General features: G+C 42.2%; 1 protein-coding gene across 33 annotated transcripts in view; it reads right to left on the bottom strand.

Moving 5' to 3' along the window:
* Positions 1 to 24,807, bottom strand: part of SULF1 (sulfatase 1) — a 194,132-nt gene that overhangs the window by 21,622 nt on the left and 147,703 nt on the right. For 26 of the 33 annotated variants that reach the window (NR_182053.1, NR_132437.1, NM_001412835.1 and 23 more), the window contains 8 exons: positions 18,040 to 18,256; positions 15,094 to 15,349; positions 11,985 to 12,081; positions 11,425 to 11,519; positions 11,055 to 11,120; positions 9,612 to 9,787; positions 647 to 789; positions 433 to 556 (listed from right to left, as the gene is read on the bottom strand). Coding sequence is in view for 26 of the 33 variants with exons in the window: in NM_001412835.1 (NP_001399764.1) it covers positions 433 to 556; positions 647 to 789; positions 9,612 to 9,787; positions 11,055 to 11,120; positions 11,425 to 11,519; positions 11,985 to 12,081; positions 15,094 to 15,349; positions 18,040 to 18,256 (1,174 nt within the window). In the remaining 7 variants the exon portion in view is untranslated. The remainder of the gene's footprint in view (positions 1 to 432; positions 557 to 646; positions 790 to 9,611; positions 9,788 to 11,054; positions 11,121 to 11,424; positions 11,520 to 11,984; positions 12,082 to 15,093; positions 15,350 to 18,039; positions 18,257 to 24,807) is intronic. The other 7 variants (NR_182051.1, NR_182050.1, NR_156415.2 and 4 more) reach the window with 1 other exon arrangement.

Here is a 24,807-nt window from a genome sequence, read left to right as displayed (position 1 = left end):
GGAACTCCAAACTGGGACAGCAGAAATAGAGCATTGTGTCTTTCCATCAAAGTTCTCTTAAAAAAAGAGAATATCCTGGTTTACTCAGAGTATATCTTCAGACTGTTGACAGCAATAACAAACAAATACCTAACGCTTTCGTGTCATCTTCCAACAGATGCTTCTATCAGGAATCAAGGTTTACTAATAGAATAGACCTGTGGGAGATATTGGAAGGAAATGCTCACCAAATCTTTTGGTGGATTAAGCTTTTCATTAGTACACCAGAGCTAAACTTAGAGATCAAATTGTATTTAGAATTGCCTGGAAAGTGTCTCCTCTAAGTATCTTGAATTATATGTTTCTGTGCAATTAAATGTTTCCAAGGCAGAAAGCTCAGTAACACAAAGAATTTTCCAGGTAAAATAGAAAAAATAGTATTTTTTTCCTTACCAACATCAAGATTCTTAGGTCTTGGGTTGCACTGCTTATATCCTTGACAGCTTCTGAGCTCCATTAGTTGTACGTGTAGCTGATTCAAAATGCCTCGTTCTACCGTGTGCACTGTATTTGTGAGCTGTGAATGCAGACAGGACAATCTATTTAAGCTTATGTCTGGTTATCCTATTTTCAACAACCTTCATAAAATGAACATATATTGTCTTACCTGATAAGGATCTGTATTCATATCAAAATACTCCAAAAAGCCAGTAGCAAACTCACAGAAAAGAAAATTATGCGTCTCATTAACTGTACGCAAACACCAGTAGGTGTTATTGTTAGAACTCGTGCAAGCACAGAAAGATCCCACTGTTGGGTAAAAAAGAAAAACACAACAAAACAAAAAGAGTGAAAAACCTTAGGCAGGCTTGCCATTCCAGTGTTCCCTTATCTTTACACTTTAAAGTTCACAATTTCTTTCTTATAAATATTGTGGTTTCATGTTAAGAATAATAATACCTTTCCCCCCGTAGGTAAATTTGCTGTGAAACTAGGTGAAAATGGGAAAAAAGATAGTGATCTCTTATAGGCTGAAGACTAAAGTAAAATTTCAGGCACATTAGTTTATCCTCCCCTTAGCTCTGTTATGCAGTGGTTTCCAAAGAGGGGTGAGTGACGGAAGTATGAGAAGAAAAATATCAGAATTTCTATTTATTCTTTGTACAAAAGAAAAATGGTTATTTAATAAAGATATGGAACTAGTACTCTCACTTGTTCTATGTGGCAGATGGCCACATGTCACCAATGAAGCATGAAAAGATGGGATTTTGCAACAAAGAAGGGTTTAGAGAAGCCTTGAGCCCAGCCTGGAGGATTTGGGATGGTCTCTGCAACACTCTAGCCTGAGCTAGGCTGTGACCACAAACATCTTTTATACCACATAGCCCTCTGGTTAACTTGTAGAATGTATGCAGAAGAGATGTCCCATTTATAATCAACTCATCTACTCTTCTGTTTACAAAAGGGCACATGTTCCAAATTTGCTGACCTTTCTTGAATTTCAGAAATGTGCTGCCTAACAAGTATTTTTTAAGAGATGGGGTCTCTCTATGTTACCCAGGCTGGACTAGAACTCCTGGGCTCAAGTGATCCTCAGCTTCCCAAGTAGCTGGGACTACAGGCATGCACCACTGTGCCTGGCCCAGCAAAATTTTTTTAGAAACAACTATTAGGTTGGTGCAAACGTAATTACGGTTTTTGCATTGTTGAAATTTGCTGTTTGATATTGGAATACATTCTTCAATAAATGTGGTTATATTAATCATCATTTTAATGGGCATTTCTTGCTTTATTTTTTTGCTAATAATGTATTACTTGCTCTTCATGTTTATTTTAGACTATGGAAATGGTGTTAGACAAAAACTAAATTCGAGTGATTTTCTTATTTGAGTTCAAAATGGATCGTAAAGCAGCGGAGACAACTCGCAACATTAACAAAGCATTTGGCCCAGGAACTGCTAACGAACATACAGTGGAGTGGTGGTTCAACAAGTTTTGCAAAGGAGATGAAAGCCCTGAAGATGAGGAGTGTAGTGGTGGACCATTGGAAGTTGACAATGACCTTGAGAGCAATCATTGAAGCTGATCCTCTTACAGCTACATGAGAATTTGTGGAAGAACTCAACGTCGACCCTTCTATGGTCATTTGGCATTTGAAACAAATCAGAAAGGTGAAAAAGCTCGGTAAGTGGGTGCCTTATGAGCTGAGAGGAAAATAAAAAATATTGTCGTTTTGAAGTGTTGTCTTCTCTTATTCTATGCAACAACAACGAACCATTTCTTAATCAGATTGTGACGTGCGATGAACAGCTCAGTGGCTGGAACAAGAAGAAGCTCTAAAGCACTTCCCAAAGCCAAATTCACACCAAAAAAGGTCACGGTCACTCTTTGGTGGCCTGCTGCTGGTTTGATCCACTACAGCTTTCTGAATCCTGGCCAAACCAGTACATCTGAGAAGTATGTTCGGCAAATCAATGAGATGCATCAAAAACTGCAATGTCTGCAGCCGGCATCGGTCAACAGAAAGGGCCCAATTCTTCTCCACGACAGTGCCTGACTGAATGTCACACAACCAACGCTTCAAAAGTTGAACAAATTGGGCTACGAAGTTTTGCCTCATCTGCTGTATTCACCTGACCTCTCGCCAATCGACTACCACTTCTTCAAGCATCTCGACAACTTTCTGTAGGGAAAACACTTCCACAACCAGCAGAACGTAGAAAATGCTTTCCAAGAGTTCATTGAATCCTGAAGCACAATTTTTTTTTTTTTCTTGAGATGGAGTATCGCTCTGTCGCCCAGGCTGGAGTGCAGTGGAGCGATCTCGGCTCACTGCAAGCTCCGCCTCCTGGGTTCACACCGTTCTCCTTCCTCAGCCTCCCAAGTAGCTGGGACTACAGGCGCCCGCCACCACCCCCAGTTAATTTTTTTGTATTTTTAGTAGAGACGGGGTTTCACCGTGTTAGCCAGGATGGTCTTGATCTCCTGACCTCGTGATCTGCCCATCTCGGCCTCCCAAAGTGTTGGGATTACAGGTGTGAGCCACCGCGCCCGGTCTGAAACATGAATTTTTATGCTACAGGAATAAACAAACTTATTTCTCGTGGCGAAAATGCGTTGGGTGTAATGGTTCCTATTTTGATTGAGAAAGATGTGTTTGAGCCCAGTTATAATGATTTAAAATTCACGGTCTGAAACTGCAATTGCTTTTGCACCAACCTAATAGGATAGGTACACGTAATGAGCATTCCTTGTGCACTATGTACTTTAACTCATTTAATCCCCAAAGCTACCTCTTGAGACAGAGGTTATTATTATCATCCTCATGTTAACAGATGGAAAAACCTGAGGCAAGGAGATGTTAAGTAATTTGTCCAAGGTCACCTGGCTGACAACTGGTAGCACTGGGATCTGGCTACAGAGTTTACTTTTTTTTTTTTTTGAGACAGTTTCTTGCTCTGTTGCCCAAGCTCGAGTGCAGTGGCATGATTAAGGCTCACTGCAGCTTTGACCTCCCAGGCTCAAGTGATCCTGTCAGTTCAGCCGCCTGTGGTGCTGGGACTACAGGTATGCACCATCACACCCGGCTAATATTTTATTTTTTGTAGAGATTGGTCTTGGCATGTTGCCTAGGCTGGTCTCGAACTCCGACACTCAAGCGATCTGCCTGCCTCGGTCTCTCAAAGTGTTGGGCTTACAGGCGTGAGCCACCACACCCGGGCAAGAGTTTACTCTTAATTACTAGACTCTGCTATCCTATGTAGTATCAGACACACTAAATCTGTCCCCTTAGGCTAAAAGAGATGTTTTAAACAATGAATGAGAAATGATTTTAAAAAATTATTTTAATAGACTATTTTTTAGAGCGGTTTTGAGGGAAAAGTACAGAGCATTCTTATTTATAACCCCAGTCCCCACAGATACATAACCTCTCTCACCATAGACATCCCTCACCAGGGTGGCACATTTGTTACAATCAATGAGCCTATATTGAGACATCATTGTCACTCAAAGTTCATAGTTTACATTTGTGTTTACTCTTGGTGTTGCACATCCTCTGGGTTTGGACAATGCATGATGACATTTATCTGCCATTGTTGTATCACATAGAGTAGTTTCACTGCTCTAAAAATCCTGTGTTCTGCCTATTCAACCCTCTCTCCCTCCAGGAATGATTTTGTTTTTAGTTGATTAGCTAATTTAAATATTTTTACACGGTCAGGTGCGGTGGCTCACGCCTATAATCCCAGCACTTTGAGATGCTGCAGTGGGCGGATCACCTGAGTTCAGGAGTTTGAGACCATCCTGGCCAACATGGCGAAACCCCTTCTCTACTAAAAATACAAAAATTAACCAGGCATGGTGGCAGGCGCCTGTAATCCCAGCTGAGGCAGGAGAATCACTTGAACCCGGGAGGCGGAGGTTGCAGTGAGCCAAGATCGCACCATTGCACTCCAGCCTGGGGGTCAAGAGTGAAACTCCATCTCAAAAAGAAAAAAATTTTTTTTTACACATTATGTTCTCCAACTTAAAACTTTTATTCTCTCCGCCTCTCTCTCTTTTTTTTTCTTTGAGACAGGGTCTCACTCTGTCGCCCAGTGGTGTGATCTGCAGCCTCCTCCACTGGGGCTCAAGTGACTCTCCCACCTCAGCCTCCCAAGTAGCTGGGACTACAGGCAAGCCCGGATAATTTTCATATTTTTTTGGTAGAGATAGGGTTTCACCATGTTGCCCAGGCTGGTCTTGAACTCCTGGGCTCAAGCGATCCACCTGCCTCGGCTTCCCAAAGTGCTGGGATTACAGGTGTGAGTCACTGTGCCCAGCCAACTTTTACGCTCTTAAACTTTTCATATCCTTTCTGACCTTTTATTTAACGCAAACAGTCTTTGTAATAGATGTGCACCCTTTAAGTAAAATATGTTACCACATTTATAATAACTTATGACAATAATTCTAGGAATGTCACCTAATGAAAACCATCTATTCTAAAGAACTTCTAAATTATATCAAAACATTAAAAAGCCTTAATACTTGAGATTTGATATTAACAAATCAGATAACAAACTACATATGCTTATTTCAAAGAAAGACCTAAAGCTTATAGGAAACGATATGAAGGGGTAGCTGTGGGGAAAAAATCCTAAATTGAATTGAATGAACCAGATTAGATCAAATACAGGTGAAGAAAAGATAATATCTTAAAAATGGATGATTGAAAATGCTTTCATCATTATACGACTTTTCATTAAAAGATCTCTAATTATGTTATTTATAACATATTATTTATATGTGAACATTTATCTCACATCTACATACATTAAAAACCACGGAACCCAAATTTTCTAATCTGTGTAGAAATCTTCCAAATTAACCGTTTAAATGGGTTTTAAACTTGTTTCATGAAATATACAAATACAATACCTTTGTATTTGCAAGAATAATTGATCAATCTCAGGGAGGACAGACATTTAAAAGTGTAATTTCAATAGAGATGACTGCCTAGTTAATGGTGGCATTAAAAAATACCTAACGTAGATGACGGGTTGATGGGTGCAGCAAACCACCATGGCACGTGTATTCCTATGTAACAAAACTGCACGTTCTGCAAATGCACCACAGAACTTAAAATATAATAAAAATAAAAATAATAAAATAAATAAATAAATGAATGTCCTGGCCGGGTGCAGTGGCTCATATCTGTAATCCCAGCACTTTGGGAGGCCGAGGCGGGTGGATCACCTGAGGTCAGGTGATCTCAGGTGAGGTCAGCCTGGCCAACATGGGGAAACCCTGTCTCTACTAAAAATACAAAAAAATTAGCTAGGCGTGGTGGTGGCCGCCTGTAATCCCAGCTACTTGGGAGGCTGAGGCAAGAGAATCACTTGAACCCAAGAGGCGGAGGTTGCAGTGAGCTGAGAACGCACCATTGCACTCCAGCCTGGGCAACAAGAGCGAAACTCCATCTCAAAAAAAAAAAAAAAAAGAATGTCCTGATTGACTCAGCATGCCGTGAAGCACATCTATGGAACCAGAAAATCTTTCTGAGTCATGTTTCATATGAAAGCAATTAAGATCACACATCAAACATAAACTGAATGTCTCACTGCATTGTTAAGTGGGACACTGAGATTTGTTTTCCTTAAGCATTCTTTAATAAGTGAGAACAAAATGTTTTGGACCTCCAAAGAATATGAAAACTATTTTTAAAAACTCTTTTTTAAACGTTTATCTCAAACTTTACATTTCTATTTTGTGTATTTTCTTTTTCTTTCTTTTCTTTTTTTTTTTTCTTCTGACATGCGGTCTCACTCTGTCACCCAGGCTGGAGTACAATCATGGCTCACTGCAGCCTTCACCTCCCATGCTCAAGTGATTCTCCCACCTCAGCCTCCCGAGTAGCTGGGACTACAGGCGGGCACCACCAAGCCCGGCTAATTTTTGTATTTTTTTGTAGAGACAAGGTTTCACCATGTTGCTCAGGCTGGTCTTGAACTCCTGGGCTCAGCTGATCCTCTGACCTTGGCCTCCCAAAGTGCTGGGTTTACAGGCATGAATTGCTGTTCTTGGCCTTTTTATTTTGTATATTTTCATAATACACAGGCATGTTTGTATATTAGTGTAATGAAATATAGACGGTGTGTTTATTTTAAAAATTGATATGGGTACATAATAAAAAAATGTTTAGAGACCATTGCATTGGAGGATCTTGTGCCTGGGTGGATTTGACTTTTCTTTTCTTCTTCTTTTTTTCATGTTATTGAGTCTCACTGTGCCAAGGGCTTAAGTTGACATAGCAAATATGAGGAATACAGCAATAATATTATTAAAATATGTAATAGAAAATGGATAAAAATATTTAAGCATAGCACACATAGTATTACTTTTTTGAAATTTTTACTTTAGTATATATATTACATATACACACAGATACACATATATACTTGTGTATGTGCACATATGTGTACAGGATCCTGATATAAGGTGCATTTTTTTACTGTGGCTTTTTGGGAAAAAATTCTGGAAGCCACTGTCCTAGAATACCAGAGCACCAAGAATACATTGTGTATCAGAAGGAGCATCAAATTTGGTATTGAATGGGATCAGTTCCTAATTCGCTCCTGTGTACAAGAGCAGAGTGATGGCAGGCACGTTCCTCACTCACCAGCACAGTGACACCCAGTGGCAGGCACTCAAAGCTTTGTTAAATTGACATGAGTTGATTTGATCTGGACAGGGTGGCTTGCTTGTTTGTTTATTTATTCACCTAAAATTGACTAAGCAATTCCTTTGGGTCAGGAATACAGTATCATAGAGACATGGTTTTTTATCTTGAGAAACTCACAGTCTAGTGGAAAGGACAACAGTTAAGCAAAAACAGTAGTCAAAAAAACTATGATTACAAATGTGATACGTCCCATGGGGGAAAAACAGAGCTTGCTGATAGAGCGTATCAAATGGGCGGACCCTAGTCTGAGGCACAGAGAGGGTGTCCACGAGCAGTGACACCGCAATTGAGGTCTGAAGGGTGAGTAGTGTTTTCTGGGCACGGGGCTGTGGGCAAGAGCCTTCCAGGGAGGGGAAACAAGTGCAAAGGCCCCATGGCGAGAGGGAGCTTGAGATGCTTGTGGAATAAAGAGAAGTTGAGTGGCTGAAGCAGGCAAGAACAGGAGGCAATGGTCCCAGTGTAAGATTGGATAGGAGCATATGGGGTTTTGTTGGATATGTTAAGGATTTTGCTATATTTTATTTTATTTTTGAGACAGCGTCTCACTCTATCGCCCAGGCTGGAGTGTGAGGGCACGATCACAGCTCACTGAAGCCTCAGCCTTCTGGGGTCAGGTGAAGGGATTCTGCTCTTTAGCTTAAGAAAAGCAGGTGTCCTTAAAAGATCACCCTAGCTCCTCTGAGCAGGATGGACTGGTGAGGACCAGAGGGGAGCCTGGGAGGCCACAGAGGAGGTCTGGCAGTGGCCGAGGTAAGAAATGGTGGTGGCTTGAGCAGGATGGCCTCAACTCAGATGATAAAAAGCAGATAGAGGTATGAAGGGCCTCCTTCTGCCATAAGCAACTATAACCCTGTGTTTTGCAATGCTTCAGCTTTCAAGGAGCTTCCACTCCTGGATAAACCAAAGGTGAGACTCCCTCAGGACCTCTGCTTGCACTGTTCCCTCTGCCTGGAACACGCTCCCTCCCACAGGGATCGCTTCTCTCTATCCTTTAGGTTTCAGCCTAAATTTCACCTCAAAGACCCGTCTTCCCCACGCTCTCCGAAAGAGTCCCATTTAAAAATGTTGACACAGGAAGAGGAACATCACACACCGGGGACTGTTGCAGGGTGGGGGCAGGGGGGAGGGATAGCATTAGGAGATATACCTAATACTAAATGACGAGTTAATGGGTGCAGCACACCAGCATGGCACATGTATACATACGTAACAAACCTGCACGTTGTGCACATGTACCCTAAAACTTAAAGTATAATAATAAAAAACAATGTTGATCACTGTTTCCTTCATAGCATTACTACAACTCATAATTATTTTGTTTCATTTACTTTCTTTTTTTTCTACCTGTACCCCATTAAAATATGAGCACAGAAAATAAAGTGTCTTGCTAGATGTTGCGTCCCCAGTTACTGTCCCCAGCGATCTGAATAACCCTCAGGGATTCCCACACCACAGTTTCAGAAACTAGATTAAAAGTTAAATGCTGTGACTTTAAGAGTTCATTCGGCCTCGATGTGATTTTAAACAGAAATGCAAACATGGACCCTGAAATCAAGAGACATCAAAATGGAAAGGGAAAACATAAAGTCTCCTAGGACAAGCCCTAGATCCCCCCAAGAATGGTCTATCAATTCTTTGGAGTCTCCAAATCCCAGTTTGAGAAACAGTAGCCCGGGTGGTCTCCAGTGAGCTTCTCAGTTAGAAGATTTTGTGTTTCATCTACTCTATAGGCTGGTAAGCTTCAATCAGAGGATGTACTATAAGAATGTGGGGTATTACTTCTATATGGCCTCAGTGAATAATGTGCACAGGCCACTAAAGAAAATATAAGCACTATTTTAAAAGTGCACAAATGTTATTATGCCATATCCTTAGCAGTTCAATGTAAAACCAAATAATTTTGTAGAGTATCTATTATTCTACAAGTCTAGTGCTGGTACTGAAGTGGACTGAGAATAAGTAGAGTATGGGCCCTGCATTTAAGAGGCTTTTACCATTCTTTTTCTTCCTTTTATTACACTTATGTACTTGAAATAAAGCAGAAACAAAATCTATTTGGGGCAAAATTGTTCATCCATTTACGGGATGTTCATCCCTTGCGTTATTTAGCTATAGAACAGTTCTACTGGGTAAAAACTGTGCCAGGTGCTGGGTATTATGTGAAACAACATCATCAGGAGGAAAAAGCCAGGGAGAAGCTTGGCATTACCAAACAAAATGCCAGAAAAAATTTAAAGAAAACAGTAATACATGGCAAAATCATTTGAGTTTCCAGTATAGAGTAGAATATGATGCCTTTCTCTTGAATCTTTGTAGATTCCTCATTTTATGCTGAATTTCTGATCTAAGTTATGAGTCGCTGTCTCTGCATGGCGGCAGGAAGTGGCATTTGGAACAAGCAACTTACGGTTCCAGAACGGGGCTGTCTGCCAGTGGTTGTTGTCATGCGTGAAGCAAGTGAGGCCAGGCAGGCTGCACTCTTCCCCCTTCCTCTGCCGTCTCTTCTCCTTCCTCTCCTTCTTCCTCCTACGGTTGTTCTCCTTGAAAAGTTGCAGTTTGCTATCTACTTCCTGAGCAGCCTCCCTGTTCCAAGAGAAGGGATTATTTTGAGTGTTCAGAAGGCACTTTCTCAATTACAAATAGGCTTGTTGCTGTGAGTCTTGCACAAATATTTAGATGCCTTGATAAGAGATAATGGACGACCTTCATTTTGTATAGAGGGACTTAAAATAGAATCAGGAATAGTGAAGGCAGGCTGGGCACAGTGACTTGCACCTGTAATCCCAGCACTTTGGGAGGCTAAGGTGGGCGGATCACTTGAGGTCACGAGTTTGAGATCAGTTTGGCCAACACGGTGAAACCCTGTCTCTGCTAAAAATATAAAAATTAGCTGGATGTGGTGGCGCACACCTGTAGTCCCAGCTACTAGGGAGGATGAGGCACAAGAATCTCTTGAACCCAGGAGGTGGAGGTTGTAGTTAGCCAAGATTGCACCACCGCACTAAAGCCTGGGCAAAAGAGTGAGACTCTGTCTCGAAAAAACAACAAAAAAGGAACACTGAATGCAAATGCATTCAGTGACAGCTTTCTTGGGACCTTATTGAACCTAAGAGGACCAACATTTTCCTCCTCATGTGCATGGAAACATCGATGGAAATAAATGTTAATGTGAATGACAGGATCCTGCTAGCCACACTCTTTGGACAAATGGCTCATTTTTTTGGCAGCCGAGTACCAATCAGCCATCGAGTTAAAGGTTAGTTGAATCAGATGGCTTGGATTAAAAAGTTTAAAAAATTCTTTGACAAATTCTACTAAACAAGTTTAGATAGCCTTTATTTTTTAGAATTATTTTTTATTATTTTGTTTTTTATATATAAAAGGCTTAAACTTTGTTGAAGTTTAAATACTAAATCTCCTTCACATGCAAATTTTGCTATTATTTAAAAAAATTTATATTTCTTCCCACTTTCAGAATTCAGCACTATTCCAGGCTGCTCTGTAGAACACCAACTGCATCGAGAGAGTCTGTAACCCTCAAGCACTCTCCACAGAAAGCAGTGCATGGAGTAAAATCTAGTTACTGGTCCCATCTGCCAGGTAGGGAGCACCCACAGAATGACAGTGGAGTTCAGCAAGCCTCCCCAACAAAGGATGCCAAGAGCATTGCCACGGTCCCTTGGTGAGGTGGGGCTTTGCTTTCAACTTCATGAGCTAGGTGCCCTCCTAGATGGATCTACTTCTTCTGAAGCGGCACTGCAGGAAACACAGGGGTCCCTCCAGCCTCTTCGAAGGGCCAGGTGGACAGTCATTGACTCCCAGCAAATGTGGAAAACAGAGAGTTACTTACTTGAATGGGTGAAGATGGCTCTTTAATTTCTCTTGCTTTTTTACACCTTTCTCTTTATTGTAATAGCTGCAGGAGAGAAGATTAAAAAGTGAGACTTCATAGCCTTGCATTGGATCAAAGTGTTCATTTTATAAAAAGAAAGCAAAATAGAAAGAAGGAAGGCAGTGATGTTGTAAGTATTTTAGCTGAATGTGACTTTTTACTTTCTGCTTAAGTTTAAGCATATTTAGTTTTACTTAAATAGCTTAGGTTATCGTACTCTATGACAATACATTCTATAGGTAAGAGAGAAAAATGAGCCCAGTGCTAATGCCTCTGGCTTGTGCGGAAATGAATTTGGAAAGTGGAGCATGGATGGAAACAAGCTCACCTTTGTTTACTGCAGCTACATTCCTCAGGCTTCCTTCTCTTCAGATGTCCTCTCACTTCTCTTAAATTCTTAATTTTATCTTGCAGAGCTTCAATCTGGAAAACATGTTTTCAAGCACTTACGTATTAAGATCAGGATTTTCTTTACAAAGTACTTTTCTTTTCACCTTGTTTTCTCTGTTCTGTAATAACAGCTATTCATCTGAGATGATACTTAACATAGAAACAAACTGGGCATAGAATATGTCTATATAGACTCTATATTCCAACCCATGTGTTATAGATAAACATTAGCAGATTCCTCTTTTATAACTGAATCATTTTCTCACAGAGATTTCAAAAGACCATTGAGTCAGTTCCCAGTCTCTTCTCATACTCTATATTGTTTTCAGTAGGACTATCATTAAATCACTGGAGAAAGACAAATAACTTTTTTTTTTTGTATTTTTTCACATAATTATAGATGATGTGTATCTGTGGTATGTCCCACCAGACACAGCAGGGCTGGCAGGCCGAGTTTGAGTTTGGAATATATCTGACAGTCACATAGCCATGGCTAACCTCTTTGTCAATGTATGCCTTATGGTCCTTCCACGCTCTGGCCGATTGGTACAGTTCTCTCTCACAATGGATAGAGTCATTGGGAAGAATAAAACACCTGCAAAACAAACCAAAACCATGTGAAATAGGTTTATATTCTAATAGCAGAAAACACTAAAGATAACAAAGAGAAATTTTAATCCTCAAAATCCTTAATGTTGATACATGCAGTAACCGTTGAGCTGATCCAAGACCAGCATCAATGGGAATATTGAGAGGTGACAGCGTGCTGGCAGTCGTGACAGCGTGCTGGCAGTCCTCACAGCCCTCGCTCGCTCTCCGCGCCTCCTCTGCGTAGGCTCCCACTTTGGCGGCACTTGAGGAGCCCTTCGGCCCGCTGCTGCACTGTGGGAGCCCCTTTCTGAGCTGGCCAAGGCCAGTGCCGGCTCCCTCAGCTTGCAGGGAGGTGTGGAGGGAGAGGCGCGAATGGGAACCGGGGCTGCCTGCGGTGCTTGCGGGCCAGCTGGAGTTCCGGATGGGCGTGGGCTTGGCTGGCCCCACACTCGCAGAGGCCGGCCGGCCCTTGCGGCCCCGGGCAGTGAGGGGCTTAGCACCCGGGCCAGCGGCTGCGGAGGTACCAGCAGTACCAGCCCACCGGCGCTGCGCTCGATTTCTCACCGGGCCTTAGCTGCCTTCCCGCAGGGCAGGCCTCGGGACTGCAGCCCGCCATGCCTGAGCCTCCCACCCACTCCATGGGCTCCTGTGCAGCCCGAGCCTCCCCGACGAGCACCACCCCCTGCTCTATGGCTCCCAGTCCCATCGACCACCCAAGGGCTGAGGAGTGCGAGCGCATGGCGCGGGACTGGCAGACGGCTCCACCTGCAGCCCCTGTGCGGGATCCACTAAGTGAAGCCAGCTGGGCTCCTGAGTCTGGTGGGGACGTGGAGTCTTTATGTCTAGCTCAGGGATTGTAAACACACCAATCAGCATCCTGTGTTTAGCTCAAGGTTTGTGAGTGCACCAATTGACACTCTGTATGTAGCTGCTCTGGTGGGGCCTCGGAGAACCTTTATGTCTAGCTCAGGGATTGTAAACACACCAATCAGCACCCTGTGTTTAGTTCAAGGTTTGTGACTGCACCAATCGACACTGTATCTAGCTGCTCTGGTGGGGCCTTGGAGAACCTTTATGTCTAGCTCAGGGATTGTGAATACACCATTTGACACTGTATCTAGCTCAAGGTTTGTAAACACACCAATCAGCACCCTGTGTTTAGCTCAAGGTTTGCGAATGCACCAATCGACACTCTGTATCTAGCTGCTCTGGTGGGGCCTTGGAGAACCTGTGTGTCAAAACTCTGTAACTAACTAATCTGATGGGGAAGTGGAGAACCTTTGTATCTAGCTCAGGGATTGTAAATGCACCAATCAGCACCCTGTCAAAACAGGCCACTCCGCTCTACCAATCAGCAGGATGTGGGTGGGGCCAGATAAGAGAATAAAAGCAGGCTGCCGGAGCCAGCAGTGGCAATCTGCCTGGGTCCCCTTCCACACTGTGGAAGCTCCGTTCTTTCGCTCTTTGCAATAAATCTTGCTACTGCTCACTCTTTGGGTCCACGCCGCTTTTATGAGCTGTAACACTCACCGCGAAGATCTGTAGCTTCACTCCTGAGCCCAGCGAGACCACGAGCCCACTGGGAGGAACGAACAACTCCAGACGCGCTGCCTTAAGAGCTGTAACACTCACGCGAAGGTCTGCAGCTTCACTGCTGAGCCAGCGAGACCACGAACCCACCAGAAGGAAGAAACTCCGAACACATCTGAACATCAGAAGGGACAGACTCCAGATGCGCCACCTTAAGAGCTGTAACACTCACCACGAGGGTCCGCAGCCTCATTCTTGAAGTCAGTGAGACCAAGAACCCACCAATTCTGGACACAATAGGTTCTAGCCACCAGTGAGGACAAAATGTCACATGGGTGGATGGTGTCACAGCTCTGTGACTAAGATCATCCCTACAACCACTTTTCAAGGCAGTTTTCAATGCTCACACCCTCATGAACAGGATACCACCAAAAAACTCAAGTTCAAATAGACATAGAACAAAAGGGACCTTTCACATCATAATGCAAATGGCTTGTTTGAAGAAAAGCAGATTCAGAAGGGGAATTCATTCCACTCATTTTGTTAAAAAGAGAGTGCCTTAAGTACCCCACTGAGTTTTGAAGTAAACAAACAGCCCCAGGGATAGACAGTAGGTGGGATGTGGGGTTAATAATGTAAGAGAAATGCATTCTGGTCTAAACCCCTTAGTATATAACTGCATCAACTTCAGGCACCAGGAGACCAGAGCCTCAGAGATAAAAATCCTGGCAGAGCACACAGTGTCCCATCTCCTCAAAGTGATACAATTAGGGAGAGAAAACAAAGATCTTGCTAATAAATTCAGAAAGAAAACATTTCCTAATCAAGAGAGTAAGTAGACTTTGGATGGAGCCAAAGAACAAAGTGAGTTCATTAAACTTATGAGGGAATCATCTGCCTTCCCTGTCCCCTTGACTTCCAGGGCCCTCTCTGTGATCCGGGACTGGTTAGATGTTTGTATGTCTTACATCCATTTGTAACCTACATCATCTCTCTGGAAGCGTCTCTGGGACTCACTGTCCTCCCTTGGACTGTGTTTCGTTTCTGAGTCTGTGACTACACAACTGCTCCAAGTGACAGTGATTGTGTAACATGGAAGAACTTCCAGCCTCTGAAATTGTTTCCATCTGTTTTCTAGATGCCTGCGAAGGTAACTGCTTAGGCTCATGAACTCCATGCCTGCTAAGTCAAGATGTGACGGAATTACTCCGGCTGGATTCCTAGCTGATCAGCCTTAATGTGAATTACTCTGGCTGGATTCCTAGCTGATCAGTCTTAATGTGAAATCAAACCCAAAGCATGTGTCCAAGCCTATGATTGCGTGGACTCATTGTTTCTTTAACCCCCAGTTGCTACATAGGCCAGCCCTCAGGCACTGTATTGCCAAGTGATACTGCTTTTTTGCCAAGTGCAAAATGGTGATAATATGGTGTGTTGTGGTGGTAATTCTGAACTCAACCCTAGTGAACAAATAAAGCTTTCTTACTTGTGTGTCACTCGGACAGTGGTAGGTGGGCCCACGGCGTTGCTGCTATCTGCCAGCATCCTGCCCCTGTTGCCACCACTGGAAGCCTGGAGATCTCTTGGCCCCTTGTGGCCTTCATCATGACGCTTAGCAATGTTTCTTGGTTGCAACACTTGCAATTCTTCTTCTTCTTCCAGATTTATGTCATATATTTCACCTTCAAATTCGACGGACAAGGAACGTGTCTGCCGAGTATGGACAAATCTGGGCTTGTACTCTAGAAGTAAGGGAAGATACATTACTATGGATGTCCTGATGTAGCTTACAAGGGAAGAAAGTGATCACCTGGTCCAGAAGGGATCCTGGAGTGGAGAAAGCAGTCCATGCTGCATTGCTGAGTGGCATCGTGGTGCCTGCAATTCACGGTAGCAGAGGTTGTCCTGGCAGTGCCATTGCCTGGCAGTGCCATTGCCTGGCAGTGCCATTGCCTGGCAGTGTGATGGATGACACACTTCTCTGGGCCTCCAGCCCTTCATCCGTCAAGTGAGGGGGTTAGTCCAGGTGATTTCTAGGATCCTTTTTATTCATGGCAGGCTGTGAACTTCTACATTTGGTTTTCAATGTGAACTGCTCAGGCTATTTTTTTGGATAAAACCATATTCCCAATTATGGTGTTAATAATAATGACTATCCTTTATTGAGCTTTTGCTATGTATTATATACTTCATATTTATCTCTAATCTGGAGTCTTGAAAGACAGGTATTATTATAAAAACCCTTACATACAAAAACATCAGATTGTCAATACCGGTTCATCCTTATTTTATGGACGAGAAAACTGAAGTTTTGAATGTCACATACATTTTGCAAGGTTATGGAGCTAGGACTATAATCTTCTGAGACTATGAAGTCTTACCACTACATTGGGCTGCTTTTTCAAAGAGGCAAATGCTCTAGACAACTTCTATTTGTACAAATAGTAGAGGATTACTCTAAGAAGAATTAAATTTTGTTAATGCTTTCATCAGCCAACTCACTTTTATACCTGGCAGAGGAGGGTTAAGGCAAGGGGTGGGCGGGCAGGGATGGGGAGAGGGCAGCATGCTTTCTGGTGACTATGGAACCTTTTCAAGAACTCATGTGTACCAGATAAGAACTTTAATGCACAAACACTAGATGCTCTTAGCTCTGTAGAGGCATATTCGTCTGGCCTTATCGCTCTAGCCTGCTGCTAACATAGAAAGAAGTGGGGCATACTGGCTGTGGAATCAGAATTGTCATGCTTCTGAGACACCTCTCAGCTGAATCCTGCAGTTTCCAGATCAGGGAGCAACCTCCGTGACAGTAGGGGTGTCAATAAGAGTGCTTACGAGTTCCATCCTTGCAGAAAGGGTGAAAACCGACTCCTGCTCTCAAATACACAAGATTCCATACAGTTTGAGAGAGCTGCCCTAGACTTGTGTTTGTGCCTAATACTGAAAAATCAATGTGCCTTATGCCCAGTGCCTGGGAAACAAGGTCGAACTTTCTGGAAGAGAAGAGGGCACTCCTACTTCTAAACTGAATGTTGCTAATCAGCTTCTGAAAAAAGAGCATGCTGGGGTCCTCGTCCCTTATTAATTTTTTTTTTTTTTGAGACGGAGTCTTGCTCTGTCATCCAGGCTGGAGTGCAGTGGTGCGATCTCGGCTCACTGCCACCTCTGCATCTCAGGTTCAAGCAATTCTCCTGCCTCAGCTTTCCGAGAAGTAGCTGGCATTACAGGCGTGTGCCACCATGCCCAGCTAATTTTTTTTGTAATTTTAGTAGAGATGGCGTTTCACCAGTTTGGTCAGGCTGGTCTGGAACCCCTGACCTCAAATGATCTGCCTGCCTCAGCCTCCCAAAGTGATGGGATTACAGATGTGAGTCACCGCGCCTGGCCTTATTGATTTTCAGAAATTTGATATCTTTGTGTGAGTTATTAGACCTGGAATTTTTCTGTTAGGGAAGAAAAAAAGTCTCCCAAATCAAAGATTCTTAGTATTTTGGCTTACGGATTCCTTTAAAATTTGTTAAAAATTGTTGACATGGAAACAAATGTCCATATACACATGGAAAACACAACAATTTTGGATGAAATATCAGGGCATGGCCCTGAAGCCCATATTGTGGAGTCTACAATAAAAATGCCTGTTCTCAGGGCTTCCATTGTTCTAGTGTATGATTTGATTTCCAAATCTTTGACATAGAATTTAATTTACTTAAATTGCTTCTTTCCAAACCAGTATAGAAAGAAATCACCATAAAATTGAGTCATTTTCCATGTTACTCCACTAGGTGGTACTAGATTCATTCTTTCGTGGAGGGTGTCAGCCCGTGGATTTTCACATTTATATAATCGTAGGTTTCTTATAGCTATTAAGAAAATTCTAGGAAGTATTTTTCATACTGAATGCAACTAGTTTGTCCCTGCCAATCAACGAGATCCAATGATTTGACAGAATTAAAACATACATATATTGTCCTAAAACAGAGATTAAAATATATGCCTTAAAAAAGTGTTTATGCTTTTCCTCTTAAAATTAAATGCATACACACTGAAACCTTGTATTTACTATTTTTTAAAAGCAACTTCAGGCAGACAAGTCAGGAGATGTTGGCATTACGATAAAATAAAATGGACTTAAACCATATCCTTTACCTTTTGGAATAACCATTTTATAAACTCTTTTATGTGTGCATATGTTTTGCATCTGGTGCTTTTATGAACTATATTTTCATTCTATGCTTAAGTGAAAATGTTTACAAAGCAAAATGTCACATTAGTCTTAGCTTTCTTATTTTAAATAGAGCAATGATGTGCTTTTAGCCTGAAAATGATGCATTGATAATATCTAAAATGTAGAAGGAGCAACCCTTTCGTCTCTCTATTGTTTATTCCCACAGGCCTAGGCCACCATTGAGATGGTCACAAAAGCGTGGCTTACTTGGAGTCCCCTGGTTTCTCAAGAATTGCCGTTGACTCTTTCTTTGGCTTCTGCTGGCACGGTAACCAGACTCCCTACAACTGCACTCTTTGTCTTTGTCATGGAAGCCGCGAGCGTAGAGGTTCCGCGTGCTCTGCCGGACTGTGAGCAGGTCACTGGGTCCTTTACACTTGTGAATTCGAAGCTTGCCAGATGTATCCTCAATGCATTGCCACTTCTGCAAAAGCCAACGTGAAAGCAGTTTACCGATTCTGCTCCAGGTGTTATTTATTAAGAGCTGCTGCCTTAGTTTTTTTCTTTTTTCTTTTTTTTAGAAGCACTGGCAATATCATTAAGGAGAGTGAATGAAGAAAGGCAAGCTTTTAAGTGACCCTGCACTAACTCGACTCTCAGTTATTTCTTTCACTGTAGGCAAATACAGATGACAACGAAATCATTGGAAATCAAACTACCTCAATGTCACTAGAGCCAAAAACTGATATATGAATCCTTAGCACGCAGACTAAACAGTCTTGAATGAAACACGTAAAAGCCGTTAGTTCACCAAGACACACGGTGCAGCTGTCAGGACTGCTTTCACCAGACCCCTCTTGCTCTGGAAAAACAAACTTGGCTGCTTTGTTCTCCGCTCCTGAATTTCTAATGTGAGCCAGGGAAGAATGGCACATGAGGAAGACAGAGATGAATTTAATTGGAGCCCATCATGGGGCGAGCCAACTCTCATATACCCCAGACATTAGCAAACTTGTCAGGCTTTCTTTTGTGTCTTTTCTTATCCTTCTAAGAACATTGTGATATGGACAGAAGACAGGGAAACCCTGGGTAGAAGAAGGTAGTTTCCTGGCAAAGGCCTCACCCTCAAGCCCGGGAATCTACAGCCCTAAATGGGGACAGGGATTCCTGTTTTTGCACCCCAAAAGTTGTTTTTGGCCTGCCATGCCACCTATCCTGTGCCCATATAAACCCTGAAACTCAGGCTCCGGAAGCAGACAAGGAGATGAGGAGACAAGCTGACGAATGGTGGAACAAGGTGGCAGAGAAAGACAGAAGAGGAACGTCTGAACACTGAGAGGAGCTTGGCTAGGGGTCAGAGAGGAGTGTGGCCATCCAGCGGCCAAACTGGGGAAGATCATCTTCCCACTCCATCCCTGCTTCTGGCTCCCCATCCGTCCCACTGAGAGCCACCTCCAACACTCAGTAAAACCCTGCATTCATCCTTCAAGCCCGTGTGTGACCTGATTCTTCCAAGAGCTAGGCAAGAGCTTGGAATACGGAAAGCTGTCATATTGGCCCTCTACCCTTGTCAAAAGGCAGAGGGTCCATTGAACTGGTTAACAAGCTGTCTGCAGACGGCAAGGCTAAAAGAGCATTGTAACACTGGGGCCGTCGGCACCCGCCCCTAGATACTACCGCAGGGCTGGAGCCCAAAAGACTCGCCCTGGTTCCTGTACCTGCCTATCTGCGTGCTCCCCCTCTCATCAGGGGTTTGAGCAGTGGTGGTGACCAAGCAGGCATGCCACACCCCTGTTGCACATCCTGTGAAGGGGATCAGGGAACTCTGCAGTTTCAACTGCATACTCGGCAGAGAGTGGGCATGCTGCTATGTGAGACAGAGTTCACTTCCCAACAGACACATACGGGGAGCTTGCACTGACTTTTCTAGACTGAGCCTTCTAACATGCCTGCCACAGATGCTGCAGGCTTACATCCAAGTAAATATGACATTGCCTCTGGACTAAGTGTCCTTGCACTTACTGAATCTCAACCTGGCTGAAATAATAGCTCTTCACCCTGGGGGTCATTTCCTGGGATCCTCCACATCTTACTTAAAGACTGAATAACTTCTTTTACATTTTATTTTCCCCCTTCTCCCTACAAAATTAATTGGGGAGGCAGGAAGAATATTTAATTTTAAGTTGGCCACAGTTGTCACAGAGTTAAAATATAGTGTTATCACACTTTTGTCTTTTTTCCTTTCCATATAGGTCTATCAGTTGTGTACCATTATCTACTGAAACTTTTCTTTATCCTTTATTGTTTTTGTTCATATCTAGTTAAAGAGTGAGAAACTCTTCTTTAAATGGGTGCATTTCTAAACTGTGGACAGAACAATACTATCTGCACTGTAAAATTATGGTTTTTTGTGCCACGTATATTTTCAAATATATTCAAATAAATAAATAATTATTAAATAAAAGATGTTCTTCCATGCATCATTTAAAAGGATCTCATACCTCCCTCTTATACCAGTACATATTTGGGGTGATATCTTGGTTGCAAAGTGTCCTACTGCAAAGTAAAGTTTGGCCAAAGGTCCCAGATGGCTTTGCTGATAACTGACACTCGTGTACAAAATGATATGCAATTATTCATGATGAACCAAGATGCAGAGCCATGGTTTGCTTTCTCTTAAGGGAGTTGTATGTCTTCAATGTATGTTGAATTATCAGAGCTGCTTTTTGGCTTCTACTATATAATCCCCAAATCCTAGAGATACAGGACTTCTTCTATGATTTTGCTTTAGCCCCCTATACTCTTGGTACTACTGAATTTGGTTGTTTCAAGCCATATCAGGGTACAACCTTTTTTTGTGGATTGGCTAGGATGTCTTGAACGTTTAGCATCTTCATCCAGAGAAGCAGGAGCTCAAGGGACAGACAGGCGACTAACGAGTCATCCCTCAGCATCCACTGAGAATTGGGTCCAGGATGCCCTGCAGATACCCGAATCCACAAATGCTCAAGTCTCTGATATAAAATGTAGTATTTCCATTTAGCCTACATACATACTCTTGTATACTTTATCTCTACATTACTTGTAATATCTAATACAATGTAAATGCTATGTAATTAGTAGTTATTCTGTATTGTTCAGGGAATAATCACAGGAAAAAAAGTTTATGCAGGTTCAATACAGACGAAATCATCTTTTCTTTTTCAATTCTTTCAATCTGCAGTTGGTTGAACCCACAGATGTAGAACCCACGGATAGAGAGGGTGGATTTTACTTACAAAGCCACAAAAAGGCAACACAAACAAGAACAGCCTAAGGACTAAGTTAGAGATGATTTAACTTAAAAACTGTGAAGTCAACTTAATTAAACACAGGAAGTTAGGTCAGATGAGTGGTTCTCAAATTTGGCTGGACAGAGGGACTTTCAGAAGCTCCCCAGATGATTCTAATGTGCAGTTGGAGTTCAGGCCACTGCTTTACATTAGCAACTGCTTACTGGACAGTTTTGCAGCTGGATTCCATGGGGAAGGCAGGAGGGATATATTTAAGTCTAAGTAGCTCAGATGCATGGGTCTTTGAGAGGGATGCGTGTAATTGGTGGGGGCGGCATGTGCAAAGGAAGCTGTGTCTAGAAATGTACTGATGTAAGCAGGTCAGAAAATGACTCCAGTTGGATGGATGAATACTATCAGTGCACCTATGCTTTCAGGACTATGTGCGTTGTTTAAGTGAAACCAGTTATCCTTGTGCTGTCTCCACAGTTAGTTGATAAGTGACAGAATTTTGACTTAGCTGAAAACTGCATGCGGCCTGTTCATGATTCTGCCATTTAATGTGGAGATCAGTGGTTTCCAGGCCTGGGTTTGTGGCACTCACAGACCCAATTATAGCATTCATGGCTATCCAATTAGCTTTAGGATGTGCCAAGAAATGATCAAAAAAGTTCTCAGAGCTGGGTGTGGTGGATCACACCTACAATCCCAGTACTTTAGGAGGCCAAGGCAGGTGGATTGCTTGAGCCCAGGAGTTCAAGAACAGCCTGGGCAACATGGTGAAACCCTGTCTCTCCAAAAAAAAAAAAAACATATATATATATATATATATATATATATATATATATATATATATATATATATATATATATAGCTAAGCATGCTGGCACATGCCTGTGGTATATACATCTAAGCATGCTGGCACATGCCTGTGGTCCCAGCTACTTGGAGGGAGGCTGAGGTGGGAAGATCACTTGAGCCCAGGAGGTCGGGGCTGCAGTGAGCTGAGATCATGCCATCATGCTACTGCACTACAGCCTGGGCTCAGAAACTGACAGACAACTCCATTAACATATAACTATATGCTATATAGAATTATTGCTGGGGAAAGTGTTGCCAAAATAAATAACTTTTCGTAACTTTGCAAAGTTTGGGAATCAGTAGCATTTGAGTGTCTGTCTGTATGTATATCTGTCTTAAATCCAAATGGTTTAAGGCTTATCCATCTACCTGGATGATCTCTGCCTCTAGCATTTAAAAATGAAGAGTTGACTGCTTAATGCCTAGAGAAGCAAAATAATCGGCTAGTGAATTCACAATCCACAGCCAAGTGGAAGCGTAAGAGGTGCTCCATCTTCTATCAGACAGGAAAATATGGCTAATTTTATTCTTGAGGCCGGGTGTGGTGGCTCACGCCTGTAATCCCAGCACTTTGGGAGGCCAAGGAGGCTGGATTGTCTGAGGTCAGGGGTTCAAGACCAGCCTGGCCAGTGTGGCAAAACCCTCTCTCTACTAAAAATACAGAAAAAAAAAAAAAAAAAAAACGGCCGGGCACAGTAGCTCAAGCCTGTAATTTCAGCACTTTGGGAGGCTGAGGCAGGTGAATTGCCTGAGGACAGGAGTTCAAGACCAGCCTGGACAACATGGTGAAACCCCGTCTCTACTAAAAATACAAAAATTAGCTGGGCATGGTGGCACACGCCTATAGTCCCAGCTACTTGGGAGGCTGAGGCAGGAGAATCACTTGAACCTGGGAGGCGGAGGTTGCCGTGAGCTGAGATCATGCCACTGCATTCCGGGCTGGGTGACAGAGCAAGATTCTGTTTCCAAAAACAAACAAACAAAAAACAAAGAAACAAAAATTAGCCAGGTGGCGGCGCATGCCTATAGTCCCAGCTATTTGGGAGGCTGAGGCAGGAGAATGGCTTGAACCTGAGAGGCAGAGGTTGCAGTGACCCGAGATTGAGCCACTGCACTCCAGCCTGGGTGACAGAGCAAGACTCCGTCTCAAAAAAATATATATATATATATATATACACACACATATATATGTGTATATATATTTATATACACATATATATGTATATATACACACACATATATGTGTGTATATATATACACATTATATATACACACACATATATGTGTGTATATATATACACATTATATATACACACATATATATGTGTGTGTATATATATATTCTTGAAAAATAATGGTCTAAAGTCTTTTTGTGGATCCAATTTATATCAACTTTAGTACAAATACTAATTTTTAAAGCACATGACTATAGTGAAAACCTGTGGTTTTTATAATCACAATGCATTCAAAGAATTCTGCCTATTTTGTTTGTTTTTGCCCTGGAGGAGCTGAGGGTACAAGTAGATTCCTGTAGAACACAAAGGTGTAGGCAGAAGTTTTAGTGACTTAGGCTATTTGGAATCCTAGTTGAATTTCCCATTAGCCAAATTCTTTGTTGGTTTCCTATGGGATAGAGATGAAGGGAAAAGGTGTTTCCTTTCTGAAGAGTTGAATTTAACCACACTGGATGTCTGGCACTGTCCTTGGCTATGATGATGTATCATACGAAATCAAATATACATACATATATGCATATATGTCTACACACATGCATACAAACATATTATCCATACATACTACATATATACATATATCTACACACATACTTGGATGAAGCAAGAGCCATGAACAAAAATGTCAATTATTTTTTCTACCATGGACCCTTTGAAAAAGTCATAGACCCTGTTAGATAAAGTAATTAACTAGAGGCTTTGAAAATCTTCCTACTGGCAAGCATACTAGGAATTTTAATGAAATGTAATTATCACACATTGCCACAGCCATTTTAGAACTCGATATCATGACAATTTTTATGACTGCACAATAAAACCTTGAAATAGCTACAACTAAAGTGGTGATCTTAGAGAGTTTATAGAGGGAAGCAGATAAAGAGAATTTTTAAAAGAATTGCTCTGAAACTCATGAAGCAAGCCATTTAAATAGTCAAAATAATGAGAAGGGATGTTTTTTGCATTGCAGGAGAGTTTCAGGAATCAGATGAAAGCCTGAGCTCAGGTGAGGCACCTGCTAATGGGATGTGTGGAGTCAGCCTCAGAAATGAGCTTTGTTCAACAAGTGCCCTTGCAGAAACACAGCTGTCACACTGTCTTTCTATTATCTATGCTCTTGAAGTTTATCAGTAAATCAGTTAATTGCCAAATCCGATTGTCTCCATCTTCACTGATGGTTCATTCCTTCTGCAAATTGTTTTCCTGTTTTCTGCAACTACATTATTTCCGTTCTCCTTCTGTCTGATTTATCAGTCTGTGCCAATAATTTAGCACACAGTCATTCCACAAATATTTCTGCACAGCAATTATGGGTGAGGTGCTAGATAAAACTATTTAAATAATTTCTTAAGTTGTTATAATTTTCTTTCAGCCTTTCCAACTATGGTGGAAGTTGGAATTAAGGGCAAGGGCCATGTCTCATATTCCTGAGTCATTCCCAGAAGTTATCTCAGCACAGAATCACTTGGTTAGGTAATTATGTGTTAGTGTTTTTGATTGATTATATCTGCCTGTATATAAATAACACCTGATGAAGAAGAGAAGGCTGGCAATTTTGGTATGAGGATACAAATAGTGTGCAGCTAGTTTGGTGGAATCAAATCTAATGAGAAATATGTCAAACGCATTTCAAACAATTTCATTCATCATCATCTTGACTACCATGATTATGA

This window comes from Homo sapiens, chromosome 8 (genome assembly GCF_000001405.40).
Source record: "Homo sapiens chromosome 8, GRCh38.p14 Primary Assembly".
NCBI lineage: Eukaryota > Metazoa > Chordata > Mammalia > Primates > Hominidae > Homo > Homo sapiens.
The sequence above is the reverse complement of the archived record's forward strand: the minus strand, read 5'-3'. Positions and strand labels throughout refer to the sequence as shown.